The 21,382-nt window shown below is 39.9% G+C and overlaps 1 long non-coding RNA gene across 1 annotated transcript; it reads left to right on the top strand.

The window, feature by feature from the left end:
• The first annotated feature begins 535 nt into the window (after nt 1-535).
• LINC02719 (long intergenic non-protein coding RNA 2719) lies at nt 536-20,193 on the top strand. Its single transcript, NR_135099.1, has 3 exons — nt 536-586; nt 12,746-12,938; nt 20,029-20,193. It is a non-coding gene; the product is annotated as a long intergenic non-protein coding RNA 2719 (long non-coding RNA).
• The last annotated feature ends 1,189 nt before the right edge of the window (nt 20,194-21,382 follow it).

Raw genomic sequence — 21,382 nt, 5'->3', positions numbered from 1 at the left:
TTATGGTTGTGCTAAAAAGGCCAAGCAGGACCAGAAAGGCACCTGTAGGAAAGGTGTGAACACACCTTAAGTATTAACATCTTTAATAATTAAGAAGGAGGGAAGTCCTTCTTAAGTCATCCACAAGTTGTCCAGCCAAGTGCCGGCAGTCTAGAGATCACTTAGTAATATAGGAAGAAGGCTCTTGCCTTCCTCCATGGGTAAGACCAAGGGGACAGATCTCACACGTTCCCTGTTGTAGACCACCTTCCAGGTATGTGGGACTGCAAAATTCCCTCCCAACCAGCCCAGAACTGCTTCCAGAGTGTGCTCACTTCATTGGTCTTCACTAGGTCCAGAGCAACTATTTATACAAGATGGACAGAGCTTGGATGTGCTGACAATGTCATCCACCCATGTGAATGTAAAACCCTTTGTGATACATGACAGAGCCCAGGGTATGCAAAGAATGGAGCAGGCCGCAGGCCTCAGCCAGAGGGTAGGGGCCATACATCCAGTGCTGCCACATTCCAGCATAGAACCCAGAGGAACTAAGGATTCCTAAATTCAAACTTGGTCTTTCAGCCATTGTGAAGCTAGGAACAAGGTAGGAGGATAGAATGTAATTTACATAGCACTCTGTTAGTTTAGTTAATAACTCTTTTAATATTTACGTTGTAAGTCCCCATTTGTACTCATGTGCCACATCATATTAACATGAGCATTTGCCTGCATCATGCTGTACATTCACTATTCCTTAAGAACCAAGGGTGGCCTAAAAGATCAGAAACCTAAAAGCATTTGGGTCATGAACCAGGACAATTTATCCTAACTAATAGTACAGAAACCAGTAGAGATAAGCACTTTAAAATGCCTAGATGATTCAAATACCTTTGTAACTCAGCACCTAGCATAGTGACTTGTCAAATGAAAAATGAAGAAATGAATGAACTCTGACTTTCCCAAAGGCTCAGACAACTTGAGAAACTTGAATATAGCCTTCCATTTGGCAGCAGCATTGCTGGTAATATGTGCAAGTGTCTTTGTGCCTGAGGAGCAATGAAGCTGATAAACAATAACAATAGCTTTGAAATTTGCGTAAAATGCATATAGAAAGAACTATTTTCTGCTTTTTAACAACACATTGAGGTACTCACATGTGTAAACCAGGAATGCTACACTTAGAAATAAGTGTCACTTATGTTTAACTCCTTGATTACATATTCAAATAAATGTACAGTTTTATTTGAATGTGTAATCCTATGTGAATGGGAGCATTCAAACAAACTCATTTGGTTCATTTATTTAGATCTCTGATGGCTCATTCTAGTAAAATGTATGTACTTTCCCCATTTTTCTTTTCAAACCATTAACTCAAAGAAACATAATTTAAAACATTTTGTTAAAATGGCTTTAAGGATGGTGGGTTTTTTTTTTCTTTCTTTCTGGTGCTGCTCCATTGAACTGCAATGCATAGAAATGAATGCATTGCTACAAAAATGAATATACATTATGTACAACCTCAACAACATTCTACTGAGTAAAATGTCCTCATGTATAACAATGAATTGTTTTATGTATAAAGAAAAAATATTGGTTCCACCAGAACTAAAGAGAAAAGAAATGCTGCTCTGCCTCCCCGACCACTTCAACTATTGTGGATTGCAGGATTGGTTGGGGGGAGATGGAAAACAGGTCTTTATCATTATATAAATGTTTAGCAGGTGATGGGGGAAAAAACAGTTCCAGGAAATTAGAAGAATATTTTTGTGTGTGAGTTATGTGGGCTTTTCCAATCTTGTAAGTGTGCTCCACAGCCACTGATCTGGGGAGTGATGGGATTGCAGCTGAATTTCCAAAAGGTTAATCTTGGAGCCGTGTGTAAAAGGGCAAAGGAGAAAGAATAACTGGGAGAAAGGGAAATAAATAACTCTTAGTCTCAATGGAGTAACAAGGGCCTGAAATAGTGTCATAGCAACTGCAAAGGGAGATGGGGATGTGGTCAGCAGGTACTGATGATGGAGAAAGGAATGCGGGATTTGCAATTAAAAGAGTATTACTGCCTGGGCTGGGCACAATGTTTCACACCTGTAATCCCAGCACTTTGGGAGGCCGAGGCAGGCAGATCACCTGACGTCAGGAGCTTGAGACCAGCCTGGCCAACATATAGGGAAACCCTGTCTCTACTAAGAATACAAAAATTAGCTGAGCGTGGTGGGCCATGCCTGTAGTCCCAGCTACTTGGGAAGCTGAGGCAGGAGAATCACTTGAACCTGGGAGGTGGAGATTGCAGTGACCCAAGATCGCACCACTGCACTTCAGCCTGGGCAACAGAGAGAGACTCCGTCTCTCAAAAAAAAAAAAAAAAATTACTGCCTGTCCTCTCTCCTGAACCACAGCCCTTCACTTTAAAGCTCTGATGGACTTAACACACAGGGGTATCTTTCGGAAACTCAGAATGCTCATGATCCAGACTGAATTTGCCTTCTTTTAGTTTTTATTTTTTTCCACACAGTTCAGGGATATGTTAAAATTTTCCCCATCCTAGGAAACATTCTTTAACACTTTCTCTGGTCAACTCTGAGTCTCTATCATCAAACTACCTTTGCCTCTTGTCTCACACGTGTCTAACCACAACTTTCCTTCCTGCCTCACTGTTCGAGAGGAGATAGCATTTGGACAAGGACAAAAATGGTAAAATGAGCCTTAGATGGCAAGGGTGAAGGGATGGGCAACAAGTGTCTGCCTACCTTTTAGGCTTCTCATCTGTCTCTCTGGTCAATTTCAGACAGTAAGATGAGGTGTAAAATGATTATCTGGGAGGAAGGTTTCCTTCAGGGTTTGAGAGGAGCCAGGGTGGGCGCAGAGGACCAACTTGAGCCAGCTTAAGCCCCAACCAGTTCATTAGAGTGAAAGAAAACAAAAATTCAAGCCAAGACCCCCACAAAAACAAAGTGTGCGTTTGGCTGCAGCAGCACTTTGTGTTTTTCTGAGCAAACGCAACCTGGCAAAAGCCAGGCCACTCTTCGAATCTGGCATAGTTGGAAGGAGAGGTTCCCAACAGCAGGAAAGCCTATTAATGCCTCTACCCAGTGGAATCTTGCTTCCATTCCCATTGCTATATAGAAACGACTCTAGGAAATGACCTTTTCACTTCCCATCTGTGCACCCTCTACCTCGTGCTTCCCGGCTCTCTGTGGTGGTCCCTGGGCACTCCTGCTTGTCTCCAGGTTATGTCTGGCTCCCTCCACCCTCTCCAACTGCTCATGTGCAGCCTGCACCTCAAGCTCTTCTTCCTCCTCCTCCTTCTTGCCCTTATCTCTCTTCTGGATTTTTTTCTCCACCAGAAATCTTAATTCATCATATGGCTTCAAAATCCACATCCACCAAGCTAACTCCTACATCTCTATCTCTAGCTCCAAAATCTCACCTAAGCTCCAGCTTCATATTTTCGAATGTCTGCCAGGAACCTTCTGATATTTTTCAGACTTCTCCAAATGAATGCATCCAAAATGAAGCTTACCAGCCTACTTTCCAAACCTGCTTTCTCTTCTAAAGTTCCCTATAACACAATGCTCCCCGACATTTGTACTCAAAGTCTAATTGTTATTCATTCATTCACTGAAAGAAAGCCCTAACTGAATATCTTAATGTCATTACATTACCTTAATGTCATGCTCCACACACAGTTAGCCTCTGGTTACACATTCCTGCCTCAGCACCTTTAACTCATTTTTTCGTTATTAGTCCATCTATTGCTAAATTCTAACAACTCTATCTTGGTAATATCTTTCAAATTCATTCTGTCTTATGGAGTCCTGCTTTTACTATTCAAATCCAGACCTTTGTGAGTTTTTAGGTGGATCATTGCTATGGCCTCCCACAGTATATTCCTCCTTTCTAATTCATTTGACAGTTCATCCCCAAATTAATCTTTCCAAGACACAATTTTCATGGATCAGAAGCCAACATAGAGAGTGGAAAGACAGCTGCATCCCAACAAGCTATGTGACCCTTTGCAAATCACTTACTACCTTTTCTTAGCTTGTTTCTTCTTTTGTAAAATGAGACTAATGATTCTTTCCTCATCAGGGATGTTGCCAAGATTAATGAAATGATAATACCATTATTCTAAGTACTTTCACATATTGCTTCATTAAATCCTTTCAACAATGTCAAGTATGTACTATTAGAATATCCATTTCATAGATAAGGAAACTGAGGCACAATGAGGGAAAGTATTAATAATTTGCCTTAACTCATACAGCTAAGTAGTACAAATTCAGGATTGGAACCTAGGCAGTCGGATTCTAGAGTATAGGCTCTTGCCTGACACATAGTAGGCAAAAAACAGGAACTAAAATGTTAGTTCCTGTCATCTTCCCAGATATATATGAGCTTATTTTTCTCCTTTTTGCACAAACTAGATAAAGTTACATTTCTAACACTTGCATCTGAGTCTTAATACATGTGCCAACCAGTTGACACATGCTATCAACTCTGCTATCAACTCTGGTGAATAGCAGGGAGCACAGGAGCATCTCCGGCGGCCAACAAATCAAACTCCACACAAAGCCTTGTAACTTATTAATAATCTGTTTCAAATACATACAAAACATTTTGTTAAAAGGAAGAATGCACAGAAAGCTCGACAAAAGCATATTTCTAAAGTAAATTCTCTAAACAAAATCTCAAATGTTTACTCAAAAGCACAGGTAACTTCCAACAATCATCTTTGTAGTTCAGAGTGTATAGTTTAGATGTCAAACTTCCTCTCTATACTGGTATTGTTAGTGTCTCACTTGAAATGAACCTGTTGATAAGCTAGTAAACTTTAACTTGGCATACAATCTGCATTTGTTCTTCCCTTTCACGTTATTTATTTACTCATTTAACCATCAGTCAAATATTGAAGCAAAGTTTTAGATTAATGTGTTAGATAGCATTGCCACCATAAAAAGGGTTGCTAATCGTGCGGATGTCTACTTTGCATTGACAAATAAATATTTCATTCAATAAGAGCTTTGTCTCTTAAACATCTTACCACCCTGAAGCCAAAACTCCACTTTTACTTCCCCAGTCTTTCCTTCCCCAGCTGTAAAATGGACTCAAGTCTTCAGCCCTGGGAGCGTTCTCAGCATGTATTCTCTGCAGCAGGACTTAGTAGGAGAGCCGTCATTTAGACTGCTCAGGTTTATCTTTATCTTTTTATCCTGAGGATGCACATTGCACACACAGAATTTCTTTTTAAATTATACAATTTAAGTTAAGTAGTTTCAGCTATGCTGGCATTGTGAGCAAAGAATATGGAACAGGAGTTTTGAATTGTTTCTCATAGAGTATCTGCATATAGAGATGACGAATGCTAGTCTAGCTTTACAATAATGTCGTATAAAAATCAACCAACTAAATGAGTTTAATACAAGTCTGACGAAATAACAATACACCTGGCTGTATGTCATTTACAGGATCTTAATAGTTTGTATTGAGTTTTCAATGCTCAAGTCTAAATAAATAAATAGCTTGAAGTTTGAGCACTAATGTATTACCAATATCTTTCTACATTCAAGTACAGAAGACATAAAGCTGAGCCAGCTGTATTGTCTGGGTTAGAATTAATCTTTAGGCAGGCAGATGGCTTTTTATTTTTAAACAATTTATGCGAATTTTTCTCATCTCTGAAGCAAGCCTCATTAAGATTTATGGGCTTTGCAAATAATTCTGAAAGTTTTTATGGAGCCACAAGGTTGTTCTTTAAAACATCCAATCTCATGTTTGAGGAAAATGATAAACAGGTGACTTGGTCACTTCTATGTGATTCTCTCAATGAGAGGATTGACTGTCAATAAATAAGCTCATCTTCTTTTTGAAACATCAAGTTTTTAAATTTACCTTACTTATCTGCAGATAACACGTACATAAGAAGGATGAAGCATCTGTACTAACAGTTCCACTAAATCTCCCTTTTTTGACTCATGAAATTCTAGCTTTATTAACCATCCGAGTAATCCATTACTTTAAATCTTCCCAATGGCTTCCCATCATGTATAGAATAAAATTCAAATCCCTTAGCCTAATAAATTGTTGATGACCACCACCCTACCTACCATTCACATCTCACTGTAGCCCTCCTTGCAGATAACTCACGAACCTTAGAAGCTAAGTCTTCCGCCTAACCCACCCACATCCAACACAGAGAGCCAATGTTCTTTTTCCTACCTCCGAGCCTTTGCTGCTGCTTCCCTTTGCCTAGAATCACTTCTCTCTCCTATTAGCCCATCAAATAACACTTTCAAGATCAGGTTAAATATAAACTCCTTCATGTAGCTCCCTCAGGACTCTATTCCCACCCAGCGAGAGTTGACCTGCTTCTTTGTTTTCAACCATACTGTGCATATGTTCTTATAATGACATCAGTAACACTTTATTAAACTTATTTACCTATATGTATATCACCATTAAGAGATTATGAACTCCTTGAGTACAGAGACCATTTTATTTATCTTTATACTCAGTGATTAAAACATAGCTCACATACATTAGATAATAAATGGTGAGTGGATAAACAAACACATAAATAAATAAACTTTGCTTCTACACTAAAATTGAAAACTGGAAGGAAAGTTGAGCTGGGCAAGTTAGCTCAAATTTCTTAATCATCCTTTAAAAGTTCTATCTGAGCAGACAACAAGACATGACTTAAAAGCGAAGGATTTTTTCTGTTGAGAACAAGAGGTCTGAAATACACGTGCAGGTCATTATGGCTACAAACCTAATGCCCTTAAAGTCTGAGGTGATGAAAACAACAAAGATTTTGTTACTCTTCTGGGAAAACCAACAGTTCACACAAACGACTGTTGTTTTACAGAGAAATAAGCACCTTATTTTTTTTTTAATTTGCCATTTAAGGGTATGCCTGTTTAAAATACCGATTCCTTGACCCCATGCCAGCCCCACTGAATGAATCTGAATCTCTGAGGATGCGGACTATGTGGCTGCATTTTTTGCAAGCTTCCCAAACGTTTCCTAAAGTTTGATAACCACTTCTCTACAGCTGGTAGACATTGATAAGCATCAGTTTATGCCAAATGTCCCAGGTACTGCAGAGGGCTGCGATTGTTTCTCCCCGTTTCCTGACAGTTCTTAGAACTGGAGCTTTTTATTTTTCTTCTCTAATGCAAAGCTAGCAGCCCAGTTATACATGACTTTCTGACCCCCAAATCGTATTATTGCAAGGCGCATTTTTTGAGGTTTGCTTTGAAAAGCACTTCAAAGTGACAGATAATTCAGATTTCTCTGATTTATCTAATTAAAACTCTAAGCCCTGCTGGGCACACCACACTTGTGCTCTGCTTTCTGCACTAGTAGCATCCAATTTGCTGTAGGGCACAGGTCTATGGGCTTGAATCTGATCAAGCATAACATTAGCTTCAGAATATATTAATTAATATAATTATGTAATTAATGCCAGTAGGTGAATTAATATAAGATTTTATGGGGGTAAATTATATGCAGTACATGTTAGAAATATGCTATAAAATATTTCCTATCAGCTAAAGTTACATTATTATGGTATTTTCAGCAAATTTACACAACTGTAGTAAGATGTAATTGTCCTCTTAATGTCTAATTTACCAGGATATTATTTTATTCGTTTAGCTCTGGGTCCTGAAAGCTCTCCAGGTCAGGCCACAGTTGTGTTATTATTTCATTGTTGATCTCACGAACTTTTCAACTTATCTATGAAGTAGAATTTGATCTGTTTGAACAATAGAGAGTATATGAGTTTTTTTTTATTATTATACTTTAAGTTTTAGGGTACATGTGCACAATGTGCAGGTTAGTTACATATGTATACATGTGCCATGCTGGTGTGCTGCACCCATTAACTCATCATTTAGCATTAGGTATATCTCCTAATGCTATCCCTCCCCACTCCCCACACCCCACAACTGTCCCCAGAGTGTGATGTTCCCCTTCCTGTGTCCATGTGTTCTCATTGTTCAATTCCCACCTATGAGTGAGAACATGCAGTGTTTGGTTTTTTGTCCTTGCAATAGTTTACTGAGAATGATGATTTCCAGTTTCATCCATGTCCCTACAAAGGACATGAATTCATCATTTTTTATGGCTGCATAGTATTCCATGGTGTATATGTGCCACATTTTCTTAATCCAGTCTATCATTGTTGGACATTTGGGTTGGTTCCAAATCTTCGCTATTGTGAATAGTGCCGCAATAAACATACATGTGCATGTGTCTTTATAGCAGCATGATTTATAATCCTTTGGGTATATACCCAGTAATGGGATGGCTGGGTCAAATGGTATTTCTAGTTCTAGATCCCTGAGGAATAGCCACACTGACTTCCACAATGGTTGAACTAGTTTACAGTCCCACCAACAGTGTAAAAGTGTTCCTATTTCTCCACATCCTCTCCAGCACCTGTTGTTTCCTGACTTTTTAATGATTGCCATTCTAACTGGTGTGAGATGGTATCTCATTGTGGTTTTGATTTGCATATCTCTGATGGCCAGTGATGATGAGCATTTTTTCATGTGTCTTTTGGCTGCATAAATGTCTTCTTTTGAGAAGTGTCTGTTCATATCCTTTGCCCACTTTTTGATGGGGTTGTTTGTTTTTTTCCTGTAAATTTGTTTGAGTTCATTGTAGATTCTGGATATTAGCCCTTTGTCAGATGAGTAGGTTGCGAAAATTTTCTCCCATTTTGTAGGTTGCGTGTTCACTCTGACGGTAGTTTCTTTTGCTGTACAGAAGCTCTTTAGTTTAATTAGATCCCATTTGTCAATTTTGGCTTTTGTTGCCATTGCTTTTGGTGTTTTAGACATGAAGTCCTTGCCCATGCCTATGTCCTGAATGGCAATGCCTAGGTTTTCTTCTAGGGTTTTTATGGTTTTAGATCTAACGTTTAAGTCTTTAATCCATCTTGAATTAATTTTTGTATAAGGTGTAAGGATGGGATCCAGTTTCAGCTTTCTACATATGGCTAGCCAGTTTTCCCAGCACCATTTATTAAATAGGGAACCCTTTCCCCATTGCTTGCTTTTCTCAGGTTTGTCAAAGATCAGATAGTTGTAGATATGCAGCATTATTTCTGAGGGCTCTGTTCTGTTCCATTGATCTATATCTCTGTTTTGGTACCAGTACCATGCTGTTTTGGTTACTGTAGCCTTGTAGTATAGTTTGAAGTCAGGTAGTGTGATGCCTCCAGCTTTGTTCTTTTGGCTTAGGATTGACTTGGCGATGTGGGCTCTTTTTTGGTTTCATATGAACTTTAAAGTAGTTTTTTCCAATTCTGTGAAGAAAGTCATTGGTAGCTTGATGGGGATGGCATTGAATCTATAAATTACCTTGGGCAGTATGGCCATTTTCACGATATTGATTCTTCCTACCCATGAGCATGGAATGTTCTTCCATTTGTTTGTATCCTCTTTTATTTCCTTGAGCAGTGGTTTGTAGTTCTCCTTGAAGAGGTCCTTCATGTCCCTTGTAAGTTGGATTCCTAGGTATTTTATTCTCTTTGAAGCAGTTGTGAATGGGAGTTCACTCATGATTTGGCTCTCTGTTTGTCTGTTATTGGTGTATAGGAATGCTTGTGATTTTTGTACATTGATTTTGTATCCTGAGACTTTGCTGAAGTTGCTTATCAGCTTAAGGAGATTTTGGGCTGAGACAATGGGGTTTTCTAGACATACAATCATGTCATCTGCAAACAGGGACAATTTGACTTCCTCTTTTCCTAATTGAATAACCTTTATTTCCTTCTCCTGCCTAATTGCCCTGGCCAGAACTTCCAACACTATGTTGAATAGGAGTGGTGAGAGAGGGCATCCCTGTCTTGTGCCAGTTTTCAAAGGGAATGCTTCCAGTTTTTGCCCATTCAGTATGATATTGGCTGTGGACCAGATGGATTCACAGCCGAATTCTACCAGAGGTACAAGGAGGAACTGGTACCATTCCTTCTGAAACTATTCCAATCAATAGAAAAAGAGGGAATCCTCCCTAACTCATTTTATGAGGCCAGCATCATCCTGATACCAAAGCCGGGCAGAGACAAAACCAAAAAAGAGAATTTTAGACCAATATCCTTGACGAACATTGATGCAAAAATCCTCAATAAAATTCTGGCAAACCGAATCCAGCAGCACATCAAAAACTTATCCACCATGATCAAGTGGGCTTCATCCCTGGGATGCAAGGCTGGTTCAATATATGCAAATCAATAAATGTAATCCAGCATGTAAACAGAACCAAAGACAAAAACCATATGATTATCTCAATAGATGCAGAAAAGACCTTTGACAAAATTCAACAACGCTTCATGCTAAAAACTCTCAATAAATTAGGTATTGATGGGACGTATCTCAAAATAATAAGAGAGTATGTGAGTTTTTGAATAATGAGTCAAATGTTCAAACAATAGTTTTTTTCTGAGGTTAGTGCCACAATTGCAAAATAAACCATTTCCAAGGAAGTCTAATGGCGATCATTCCTCAAATTCTTCTCTTCTTAGAAAAATGGGCTGTGCCTTGAGGTGGTTGCATGTTTTTATTTGCCTTTTCAGTGATTTCATTGAAGAGTAGATATAAAGTTTACTTCCACTTATAAATTCATGAAACTGTAGTATATATGAGCCAGTGGGACTTTTGAGGTTAACTTCTTTATTCAAGGTAAGGTCAGTGGCAAAAATGGGACTACAATCAGCTCTACTCTTTCTACGGTAACCAAATACCCCATTTTCCTAAAAATTATCTTCAACCTCTTTTCCTTTTCCCTGTTTGTTCACCTTTTACTTAGCTCTTCAGGAATGCAATTAAAACCTTTACCTTCACTCCACTAGGCACTTACTGCACTGCAAGTTTATCTACGTGTTTACTCAGAAGTTCCAGGGAGGAGTCTTTAAACAAACCAGGCACTTCCAGAGCTATCTCCCCTACTGCGAGATTGCCTCCAGACAAGTCCTAATTTACAGCCTACCTTTGCCTGTGATCGCACCACCCAGACCACCCAATGAATAAGACATTGAACAAGTCATGTAGACCTGGCACCTCCTTGCTCACTCCCCTGCATGCTATTCACACTAAGTTCCCCTTTAAAGACCCTGCTTTCTGCCCTGAAAGCTGAAGTGGTGCCCTCAAGGCAGGTGCCTATACTACCTCGCCTCAGCTAGCTCTGGAATAAGGTCACTTTGTGTCTACTAGACCTCGCTCTTGTTAATTGAACACTGCCAGTGGAAAGCAACTGGACTTGCATTTGGTTACACGACTAATGACGCTTTCTCCTGTTTTATAAATTCAACTTAATTGATTTAACATATGCAAATTACATGCCTACTTTGTATAAAGGAAACATCTTTTTAAACATATAAGGTTTTCTTTAGGTAGGGCATGGTGTTTTATGCCTATAATTGCCTGTAATCCCAGCACTGTGGGAAGCCCAAGCAAAAGAATTACTTGAGGCCATGAGTTTGAGACCAGTCTGGGCCACAAAGGAAACCCCGTGTCTACAAAAAAAATTTTTTTTATTTTTTTAGAAAGCGATCACTGGGGCGTGGTGGCTCATGACTGTAATCTCAGCACTTTGGGAGGCTGAGACAAGTAGATTGCTTGAGACCAGGAGTTCGAGCACAGACTGGGCAACATGGCAAAACCCTGTCTCTACAACAAATACAAAAATTAGCCAGGCATGGTGGTACATGTTGGTAGTCCCAGCTATTCAAGAGGCTGAGGTGGGACGATCACTTCAACCCAGGAGACAGAGGTTGCAGTGAGCCAAGATCATGCCACTGTACTCCAACCTAGGTGACAGAGTGAGACTCTGTTTCAAAAAATATAAAATAAAAGTGATTACCCCAAAATATCTGCGACAAAATCTCTCTTTTAATACAAGACACCATTTCTTTATAAAGTTTTTGTTAAAACTAAATGTATAACCGATAGTAATAACATTAATCTGACAAAAAAATTATTACATATCCATTCATGTATTTGTTCATTCATCCACTCAATTATCAAGCATTTATTTAGAGTCCCATCGTGTAAGGCACAGCCAGGTCTAAGGCTATGTAGATAACAAGAAAGGGTTTCTGCCCTTGAGGAATTTATGGTTTAGTGGGGAGAGACAGAGTGATCAATCAATAAATACAAACATACATATTTTGATCCAGGCAAGGAAATGTTGAAATAGTAGTTCAAAATACAACATGAAGAAGTCAACACGATAACATTTGTGATGGGTTTTGAAGTATTACCTGACCACCTGTTTTGAACATTAAAATGCAATTAATGGGTCCCTGGCAGTGTCATGCTTGGAGTTACCATCTATCAGGTATAAGAAATTCAGACTAACTTCACAACTCTCATTTTCTCCTCTTTTACACATCAAAGGGGGAGTAGGTACCAGTTTTGCCCTAACCCAGTTTGCTAACTAATTCATGGCAACTGAACCTTTAAAACTGACTTTGGCAGGCAGTGTTGGAAGCATGGGGTTTCGGTGGTTACTCCAGGGAATAAGGCAGCATCTTATCACAGTTGTAAAGACCCTTTGAGGGTGGAAGAACCCACTCCCCAGCATTATGCTCTGAGAAGAGACCTACTTTATACAAAGTAGGCATCTAATTTGTATATGTTAAATCAATTAACTTGAATTTATAAAACAGTAGAAAGCATCATTAGTAGTATAACCAAATGCAAACGGTCCTTGAAGATCAGTGCTCTCTCATCCTTTCACCTATTTATATTCACAGAACACAGAACACAGAACTGGCCCAGAGTGGTGAGGTTGCTCAGGTTGCAGAGGGCCTGTCATTTCAGAGGATGGTGACTGGGTAGCCAGCTGTGAGGCAAAGCCTTTCAGGAGCAAAGGCAAGACCTGAAGAAGGGAGTGTGGACGGCAGCACTTCTGTGGAGGAAGCTGGCTCTAAAGGCTATTTGAGGAAGGTATAGTGTTTGATTCAAATGACTTCCCACCCTAATGGGCCCAAAGTGTTTGAGACTTTTCTGAGCTGTTTTTTCAGTTCACCTGTCCAGTTGCTTCCTGGAGAGCAAAGTGGCTGGGTCAGAACTAGTTGCAGGATTTGCTGCATCATGGTAACAGAATCCAACTCTTTGCTCCTTCCCACAACTCAAAACTACTTCCAGTCCTGACTTTCACAATTGCAATAAAAATTGTCACCTTTCTCTGTCACTGAGCTTTGGTAAGGAACATCCTAGTCCACCAGAAAACCAAATCCCAACTCAGTTTCTTCTTCCTGGAATGTCCACATGCTTCTTATTTATCCAACCCTTTTCAAGAACACTCTGATTCCAATGCTAAGAGGCGCTGGCTTCCATAAATCAAAAGAAAATGTCTATATACCTCGTCCACAGAAGGGAGGGGTCCTTAAGACCTACTTAACAATGAACTTCTATCTCTAAGCAGTATAGCACTGTGGTTCAAAGTGAAGACTTTAGAGCCAGATTCCTTGCATTTGAGATATCCTGGCTCTACCACTTACTATCTGAATAATTTTAAACTTTCTGTGTCAACTCATTTGTAAAATAGACATTGTAATAGCCCCACTTCATGGGGTTGCTATACTACCTATAATTAAAACAGATAAAGCATTTAGATCAAAGTAAGTAAGCACAATATAAATGTTAGTGAGTACTATTATTTTACTAAAAGCAGCTGCAAGCTGCTTTCATAAGAAACAAAGATCTCTGTGGTAGAATGCTTTACTACAGAAGGAAGAATAAGAAATTGTTAAGGAGGATGGGCGCGGTGGATCACCACTGTAATCTCAGCACTTTGGGAGGTCGAGGTGGGTGGATCACCTGAGGTCAGGAGTTCGAGACCAGCCTGACCAATATGGTGAAACCCTGTCTCTACTAAAAATACAAGAATTAGGTGGCATGTGCCTGTAGTCTCAGCTCCTCGGGAGGCTGACACGGGAGAATTGCTTGAACTCGGGAGGCGGAGGTTGCAGTGAGACAAAAGCGTGCCACTCCACTCCAGCCTGGGTGACAGAGACTCTGTCTCAATAAAAAAAAAAAGAAATTTTTGAACAAACATTCAAAACATCCCAAAAGAAGAGAAAATATAAAAGTATGAAGGTTTTTAATTTTTCAACAAATATTTATTGAGGCTCTATTCAAAGCAAAAGGAATACAGCCATGAACAAAACGGACCACAATCTCTGCCCCCATGGAGTTAATATTTAATAGGGGTAGAAGGACAGATAAATACACAAGATACTTAGGTAAAATGACTAATATATCGGATCATGATGATAACTCTGAGAAAAAAAAATAAATGGAATGGGGGATAGAAATTAGAAAAAGAAGGTGCAATTGTAGTTAGGGTGGCCAGGGAAGGCTTTATTGACATGCTAATATTTTCACGCGGGCCAGAAGGAGGTAAGGATTCAATTCACTGGCAAACCAGGGGAAGATTTTCCAAGATTTTTGTAAAGTTTCACAAGTGGAAACTTGCATGGTGTGTGTGAATAACAGCAAGAAGGCCAGTACAGTTGGGGCAGAGTAAGGGAGGGAAGGATTGATAGAAGATAATGTCAAAGAGGTAGCAGGGAGCCAGATAATGTATGCTTTCTGTATTAGTCAAGGTTCTTTAGAGGGACAAGACTAATAGGATGGATGTATATATGAATGGGAGTTTATTAAGGAGTATTGACTCACATGATCACAAGGTTAAGTCCCACAACAGGCCATCTCCAAGCTGAGGAGCAAGGAAGCCAGTCCCAAAACCTCAAAAGTAGGGAAGCTGTCAGTGCAACCTTCAGTCTGTGGCTGAAGGCCCGAGAGTCCCTGGCAAACCACTGGTACAGGTCCAAGGGTCCAAAAGCTGAAGGACTTGGAGTCTGATGTTCGAGGGCAGGAAGCATCCAGCACTGGAGAAAGATGGAGACCAGAAGACTCAGCCATTCTAGTCCCTCCACGTTCCTCTGCCTGCTTTCGTCCTAGCCGCTACTAGCAGCTGACTAGATGGTGCCCACCCAGATTGAGGATCTGCCTCTCCCAGTTCACTGACTCAACTGTTAATCTCCTTTGGCAACACCCTCATAGACATACCCAGGAACTATACCTTGCATCCTTCCATCCAATCAAGTTGACTATAATAACCATTACAAGTCCTCCCCTTGTCAATTTGAACCCATACACGTGTCCTGAAATCATACATCATCTTCAAATAAAGACAATAATAAGGTCATAATTACACCTAATATAATACAGTTATTCTTTGTATAACCGAAAGTGCACCAATCCCCAACCCAAATACTATTACATAAAGTTAACATCACTTAAATGCTGATATAAAGTCAATAAAGCTTATGTCACATGATAAAGGAAAAAGAAAGGAAATAAGATGGAGATATTTTTAGTTCAAGTGTATACATGAACAAACATGTTCTTAACAAAAGGAGGAGGAAATATTCATGACAATTATGGTTCTCGTTTCTGCAACTGGTCATGTGGTTGTAGCTGGTATTGATGCCTAACCTCCTTCTACTACCCATTCTGTATTCCCTTTGCCTTTCGCAAGCACCTCAGCAGGTCATGGCTTTTTACCTGGTGGAGTGAACCAAACCTTCATTCCTGAAGGGTCTGGGGCCATTTGCAGTCCTGCCTGGATTGGGTTGTTGTTGTTTCCCATTGACCTTAATCACAGGTCATGGTAACACTAAGAGGTACCGTAAGGGATCTCCTGTATTCCACGCATACTCTTCTTCACCTCCATTGTGGAGTAGAAGACTGATATCATTTTGATAGTCTGGGTCAATCACCTCAGCCAACACTGTAACTCCCTTCTTAGCCTGTTGACAGAGGTAGAAGGAGCCCAAAGTGGCCAGGTGGCAATTTTAACTTCTAGCTTAATGGAATCAGTGTTGTGTCTCCTGGTGGCAGCGTTCCTCCCAATGCAACTAAGACCTCTAGGCCAGTAGAATGTGATGTTGTGGGAACAGGAAGCAAAAATTTTGCTAGTGGGTCACTAGAAGTGATGGTGAGCGGTGCCACTTCTGCTTCCACCCCTTGATTCCTGGACCTGTGAATCCTGGCTATAGGAGAAACAGTACTGTATATTGGATGCTGATTCAGAGCATACAAAGCCTTCTGGAGAACTTTGTCCCAGCCCTGCAAAATATTGTCACCTAGTTGGCGTTGTAATTTCAAAAGGCCATTCCACCATTCTATCATCCTGCTTCAGAATGATGGGGAATGGAGTAAGACCAGTGAATTCCATGAGCATGAGCTCACTGCTGTACTTCTTTAGCCATAAAGTGAGTGCCTTGGTCAGAGGCAATGCCATGTGAAACACCATGATGGTGGATAAGGCATTCCATGAGTCCATGAATGGTAGTCTTGGCAGAAGCATAGAATGCAGGATAGGCAAAGCTATATCTAGAGCAACTGTCTATTCCAGTTAGGACAAACCACTGTCCTTTCCATGATAGAAGAGGTCCAATATAATCATTTCATGTTGTTAACTTGCCACCAAGTAGCTGGCTGATCACCCTGAGGAATGGTGACACACTGAGGACTCAGCGTTGTTCTCTGCTGCTGGCAAATTGGGCACTCAGCAGTGGTTGTAGCCAGGTCAGCTTTGGTGAGTGGAAGTTCATGTTGCTGAGCCCATGTGTAACGTCCATCCCTGCCACCAAGGCCACTTTGTTCATGGGCCTATTGGGTGTTGACAGGGGTGGATGGGGAAAGAGGCTGAGTAGTGTCCATAGAATGAGTCATCCTATCCACTTTATTAAAATCCCCCTTTGCTGAGGTCACCCTTTGGTGAGCACCCACAGGAGACACAAATATCTTCACAGTTTTTGACCACTTAGAGAGGCCCATCCACATACCTCTTCCCCAAATTTCTTTGTCACCAATTTTCCAATCATGCTTCTTCCAAGTCCCTGACCATCCAGCCAAACCATTGGCTACAGTCCTTGAATCAGCATATCATCACACATCTGGCCGTTTCTCCTTCCATGCAAAGTGCACAATGAGGTTCGCTGCTCGAAGTTCTGCCCAATGGGAAGATTTCCCTTCACTGCTGTCCTTCAGGGATGTCCTAGAAAGGGGCTGTAGTGCTGCAGCTGTCCACTTCAGGTGGTGCCCGCATATCATGCAGAACCATCTGCGAACCAGGCCCTAGTCTTCTCTTCATCTGTCACCTCAGCATTGGGAACTCCCCATGAGGCCACTGGTGTAGGCTAGTGGGGAGAAGGCAGGGTGGCAGGATTGGGGACCATGGGCATTTGAGCCACTTCCTCATGTAACTTACTTGTGCCCTCAGGACCTGCTCAAGCCCAATCACGTACATGCCACTTTCATTTGATGATGGAATGCTACCATGCACATCCCGCTTTATGACCAGATGTGTCAGAAAGCACTCAGTTCATGATAGGCAGTTCAGGTTGCATGGTGACTTGATGACCCATAGTCAAACGTTCAGTTTCTACCAAAGCCCAGTAACAGGCCAAGAGCTGTCTCTCAAAAGGAGAGTAGTTACCTGCAGAAGATGATGGCAGGGCCTTGCTCCAGAATCCTAGAGGCCTCTGCTATGATTCACCTATGGGGGCCTGCCAAAGGCTACAAACAGCATCCCTATCTGCCACTGGCACCTCAAGCACCATTGGCTCTGCTATGTCATATAGCCCAAGTGGCAGAGCAGCTTGCACAGCAGCCTGGACCTGTTGCAGAGACTTCTCCTGTTCTAGACCCCACTCAAAACTGGCAGCTTTTTGGGTCATTCGATAAATGGGCTGGAGTAACACACCCAAATGAGGAATGTGTTGCCTCCAAAATCCAATTAGGCACACTAGGCTCATGGTAATGACCTTGGGTTGGGGCCTTTTTTTATTTTTCTGATGAGCAAGGGCATGATCTTGGTTTTTAATATAACAGAGTTGGAAGACCACGGAGCTTTTTAAGTGGAGGAATCAGATAATCAGACCTAAGTTAAAAAAGAAAAAAAAAGCATTCTGGTTTATGTATTAAAAAATAAAATAGTGAGTTAGAGAGGCAAAAATAAGGAAACAACTGACAAGGCTGTCGCAACATTCTAGATGAAGAATGATGGTGGCTTGGACCACAGTGGTAATTGTCGAGGTGATGAAAAGTGGTCTGATTTAGATATATTTCAAATAAAAGGCCAACAGTACTTGCTGACAGATTGGATGTGAGGGTGGGGTATGCAAGAAAGGGAAGAGTAAAGGAAACTCCAAGATTTTTAACTCAAGCATCTGAAAAAATAGAATTTATTTTTACCATGGAGACATAACTGTGGAATTAACAGATTTTAAGGAAATGAAGATTTCATTTTGGGACATAATGTATTTGAGATACTTTTTAGACGTCCAAGTGAAGATGTCAAATAGAGAGATATATGAGCCTAGAGTTCAGGGGAGAGCTCTGGACCAGAGACATAGATTTGGTGATAATCAATGTATAAATGTATTTAAAGAGAATGAGTGTAGAAAGAGTAGAGATCTGAGGACTGGATCTAGGACCTGCCAACATTTAGGGTTTGGGGAGATAAATGGAATTAGCAAAGGAGACTGAGAAAAACTGACCAATGAGAAAAAAAAAAACTTGAAGTAGTATCCTAAAAGTGAAGATGCTGTATCAAAAAAGAAAGCATTTACAGTGAGTTAAATGCTGCTGATAGGTCAAGTAAGATGAGGACTGAGAACTGCCCAAAGGACTTAGCAACATGGAAGTCTTTGGTGACTTTGAAAAAAGAAGTATCAGTGGTCAATGAGGCCTGATTTGAGTTGGTTTTAGAATTATTATAATAGATAAGAAGAACTGTAGATGATGAAGTCATCTCCAGTTTTTGCAGAAAAGGGAAACTGAAATATGGTACAGTATCCAAGAGGGAAGGATGGAGTGAAAGAGGATTCTTTCTTTCTTTTCTTTCTTTTCTCTTTTTCTTTCTTTCTTTCCTTTCTTTCTTTCTCTCTCTCTTTCTTTCTCTCTCTTTCTTTCTCTCTCTTTCTCTTTCTTCTTCTATCTCTCTCTTTTTCTTTCTCTCTCTCTTTCTCTCTTTCTTCTCTCTTTCTCTTTTTAAAAAAGCATCAGTTTGGTGAAAAAAGGAGAGGATTTCTTTTTAAGATGAGAAAAGTAACAACATGTTTATGTTTCTGGGAATGATGCCATAATTGACGGGAAATTGATGTGCCAAAGAGGTGAGATTTTCCAAAGTACCATCCGGAGTAGAGGGAATGAATCTAGTGTCCAAATCAAGGGGCTGGGCTTAGACAGGAGTGTGGACATTCCTCTCTAGTGGCAGGAGGGAAGGCACACTGCCTGGGCACAGATGTAGCAAGGTGGGTGGATGTGATGGAGGAAGCTTGGGGAAATTCTCTTCCGAGACATCTGCTTTTTCAGTGGAATAGGAAGCAAGGTAATCAGCAAAAAGCAAAGATGGAGAATGTATTAGAAATTGAAGAAGAGAAGGGAAAGTATGGAAAAGTTATCTGGGTGAGTGGACCAGGAATGATTGTGGGGCAGCACTACAAACCATTTAATATTGGGTCATGAATTGAAATGAGAGCAATCAGCTGGGAAGGACAAGTACAGAAAAGGCAGAGGGTAAATGGATTTAGGGGTCTGAAAGTCAATGAGGAGCAAGTATACCTAAGGAGTGGAATAGTGAAATAAAGTTGAGAAGTGAAGATTTGGAGGAGGTTTGTAACTGGAGTGTTGTAAGCCATATTAAGGACTTTATACTTGAACCTACAGGATAAGAGAGAGCTAAAACCCTGTTTTTCAGGGAAGACAATGGCACAATTTAATTTGGTTTGCAAGAAAGACAGTTCTGGAAAGTATGAACAGGACAGACTGAAAATTGTATTGGTGGATATACAGACCATGTGTTGGTACCTATAATGTCTTCTTAGAATCAGGACATATAGTTCACCCTGTAAAACGAAACTGGCAAATAAAAAGTTTCCTAAAGAAATGTTGAAAAATCTGAACCCATCATGAGTTCCCATTAAGCTTATCTAACTGGCTTTCTTAATTTTCCTAGGTACCTCACATAAATGAACTCTTGTGCTCTGAAAGAAAAGTTTGTTCTTGCCCTGCCTCAAGGTCAGCAGAAAGAAAATATTCTCTTACAACATGGCATGTAAGAAATAGAGAAAAGAGGAAAGAAAATCTATTTGAAATAAAGCAACCATTTCTCATGATGAAAAATCTGCACAATTACTTTGGACGCAATATATTGCACCTGTTTCTGGCTGATGCCTCCTAAATTAGGCTTTTAAGTGATCAAATACTGCACGTTTCACACATACCCTAAAAGTAGTATGAAATACAAGTGACTGGGATAAAACATAAGTAAACTAGGAATGAAAATGTCATTTTTTTCTATAAAATTGAAATAATTGCTTTGGGAACAGTTTTCTATTTGATAGCTACATGAGTATATCTATCTTGACCTGTCAACTTTTTTTGAGAAATACCATTTTTAATGATAATTCTAAATACAAATGTGGTTAAAGTCCAGGGAGAAGTAAGTATTTTTTCCCTTAGTAAATTAATCATGCCCAAAGTTGAAAGGATGTCAGTTTTGCAAAAGGCAATTTTGACAAATGATGTATTTGATATTTGAACACTGATTTCTGCAAATACAAATGCAGGAATGCTGTGTCCTTAACGCAAAATTACATGCCATTATTTTTTACAAATCTGGAAATTCTTTTCCACATGAATATTGTCCTCAAGGGATTGTATTTATTCATCTACACTTTTCTTTCTCAAATGACTACCTTTATTAAGATTCCAGGATAAGGCTTTTCTAGCCTATCTCAGCTTTAAAATGGCTTTAATTCATATGTTTCAAGATGCACAGCTTTATCTTGAATATTCAAATAAAAGAAAAATACCTCAAATTAAATTTTTTTTTTCTGAGAGTGTCTTGATATATTGTCCAGGTTGGCCTCTAACTCCTGGGCTCAAGGGATTCTCCTGCCTCAGTCTCCAGAGTAGCTGGGACTACAGATGTGCACCACTGAGCTTGGCTCATATTAATTCTTTGATTGTTAAATAAAATAGGTCTCCAACAATGATATAAACCGAATTTCATCAGATTATGCTTACCTCTTCCGTGTTACTAAGTGATTAATGTTTTCAGTCAACTTCATGACCAACTGCACTCATTTATATATGAGGGGTTCCTAGGAAAACAACAGGAATTTATACTTGAAAATTCAGAGTATTTCTTTGTTTCAATTATCATTCACTGCAAATGTTTCACTGTCTACAGGTCTATTTTAAATCCCTAAATTAATATCAGATTTCACAGGTATTGATTATTATCTAAGTCTTTAGCTCCTTCACAGTGTTCATATGCTCTGAAAAGATATTTATTTGGATAAAAT

This window comes from Homo sapiens, chromosome 11, assembly GCF_000001405.40.
Source record: "Homo sapiens chromosome 11, GRCh38.p14 Primary Assembly".
Taxonomy (NCBI): domain Eukaryota; kingdom Metazoa; phylum Chordata; class Mammalia; order Primates; family Hominidae; genus Homo; species Homo sapiens.
This window is presented reverse-complemented; position numbering and strand designations above follow the sequence as displayed.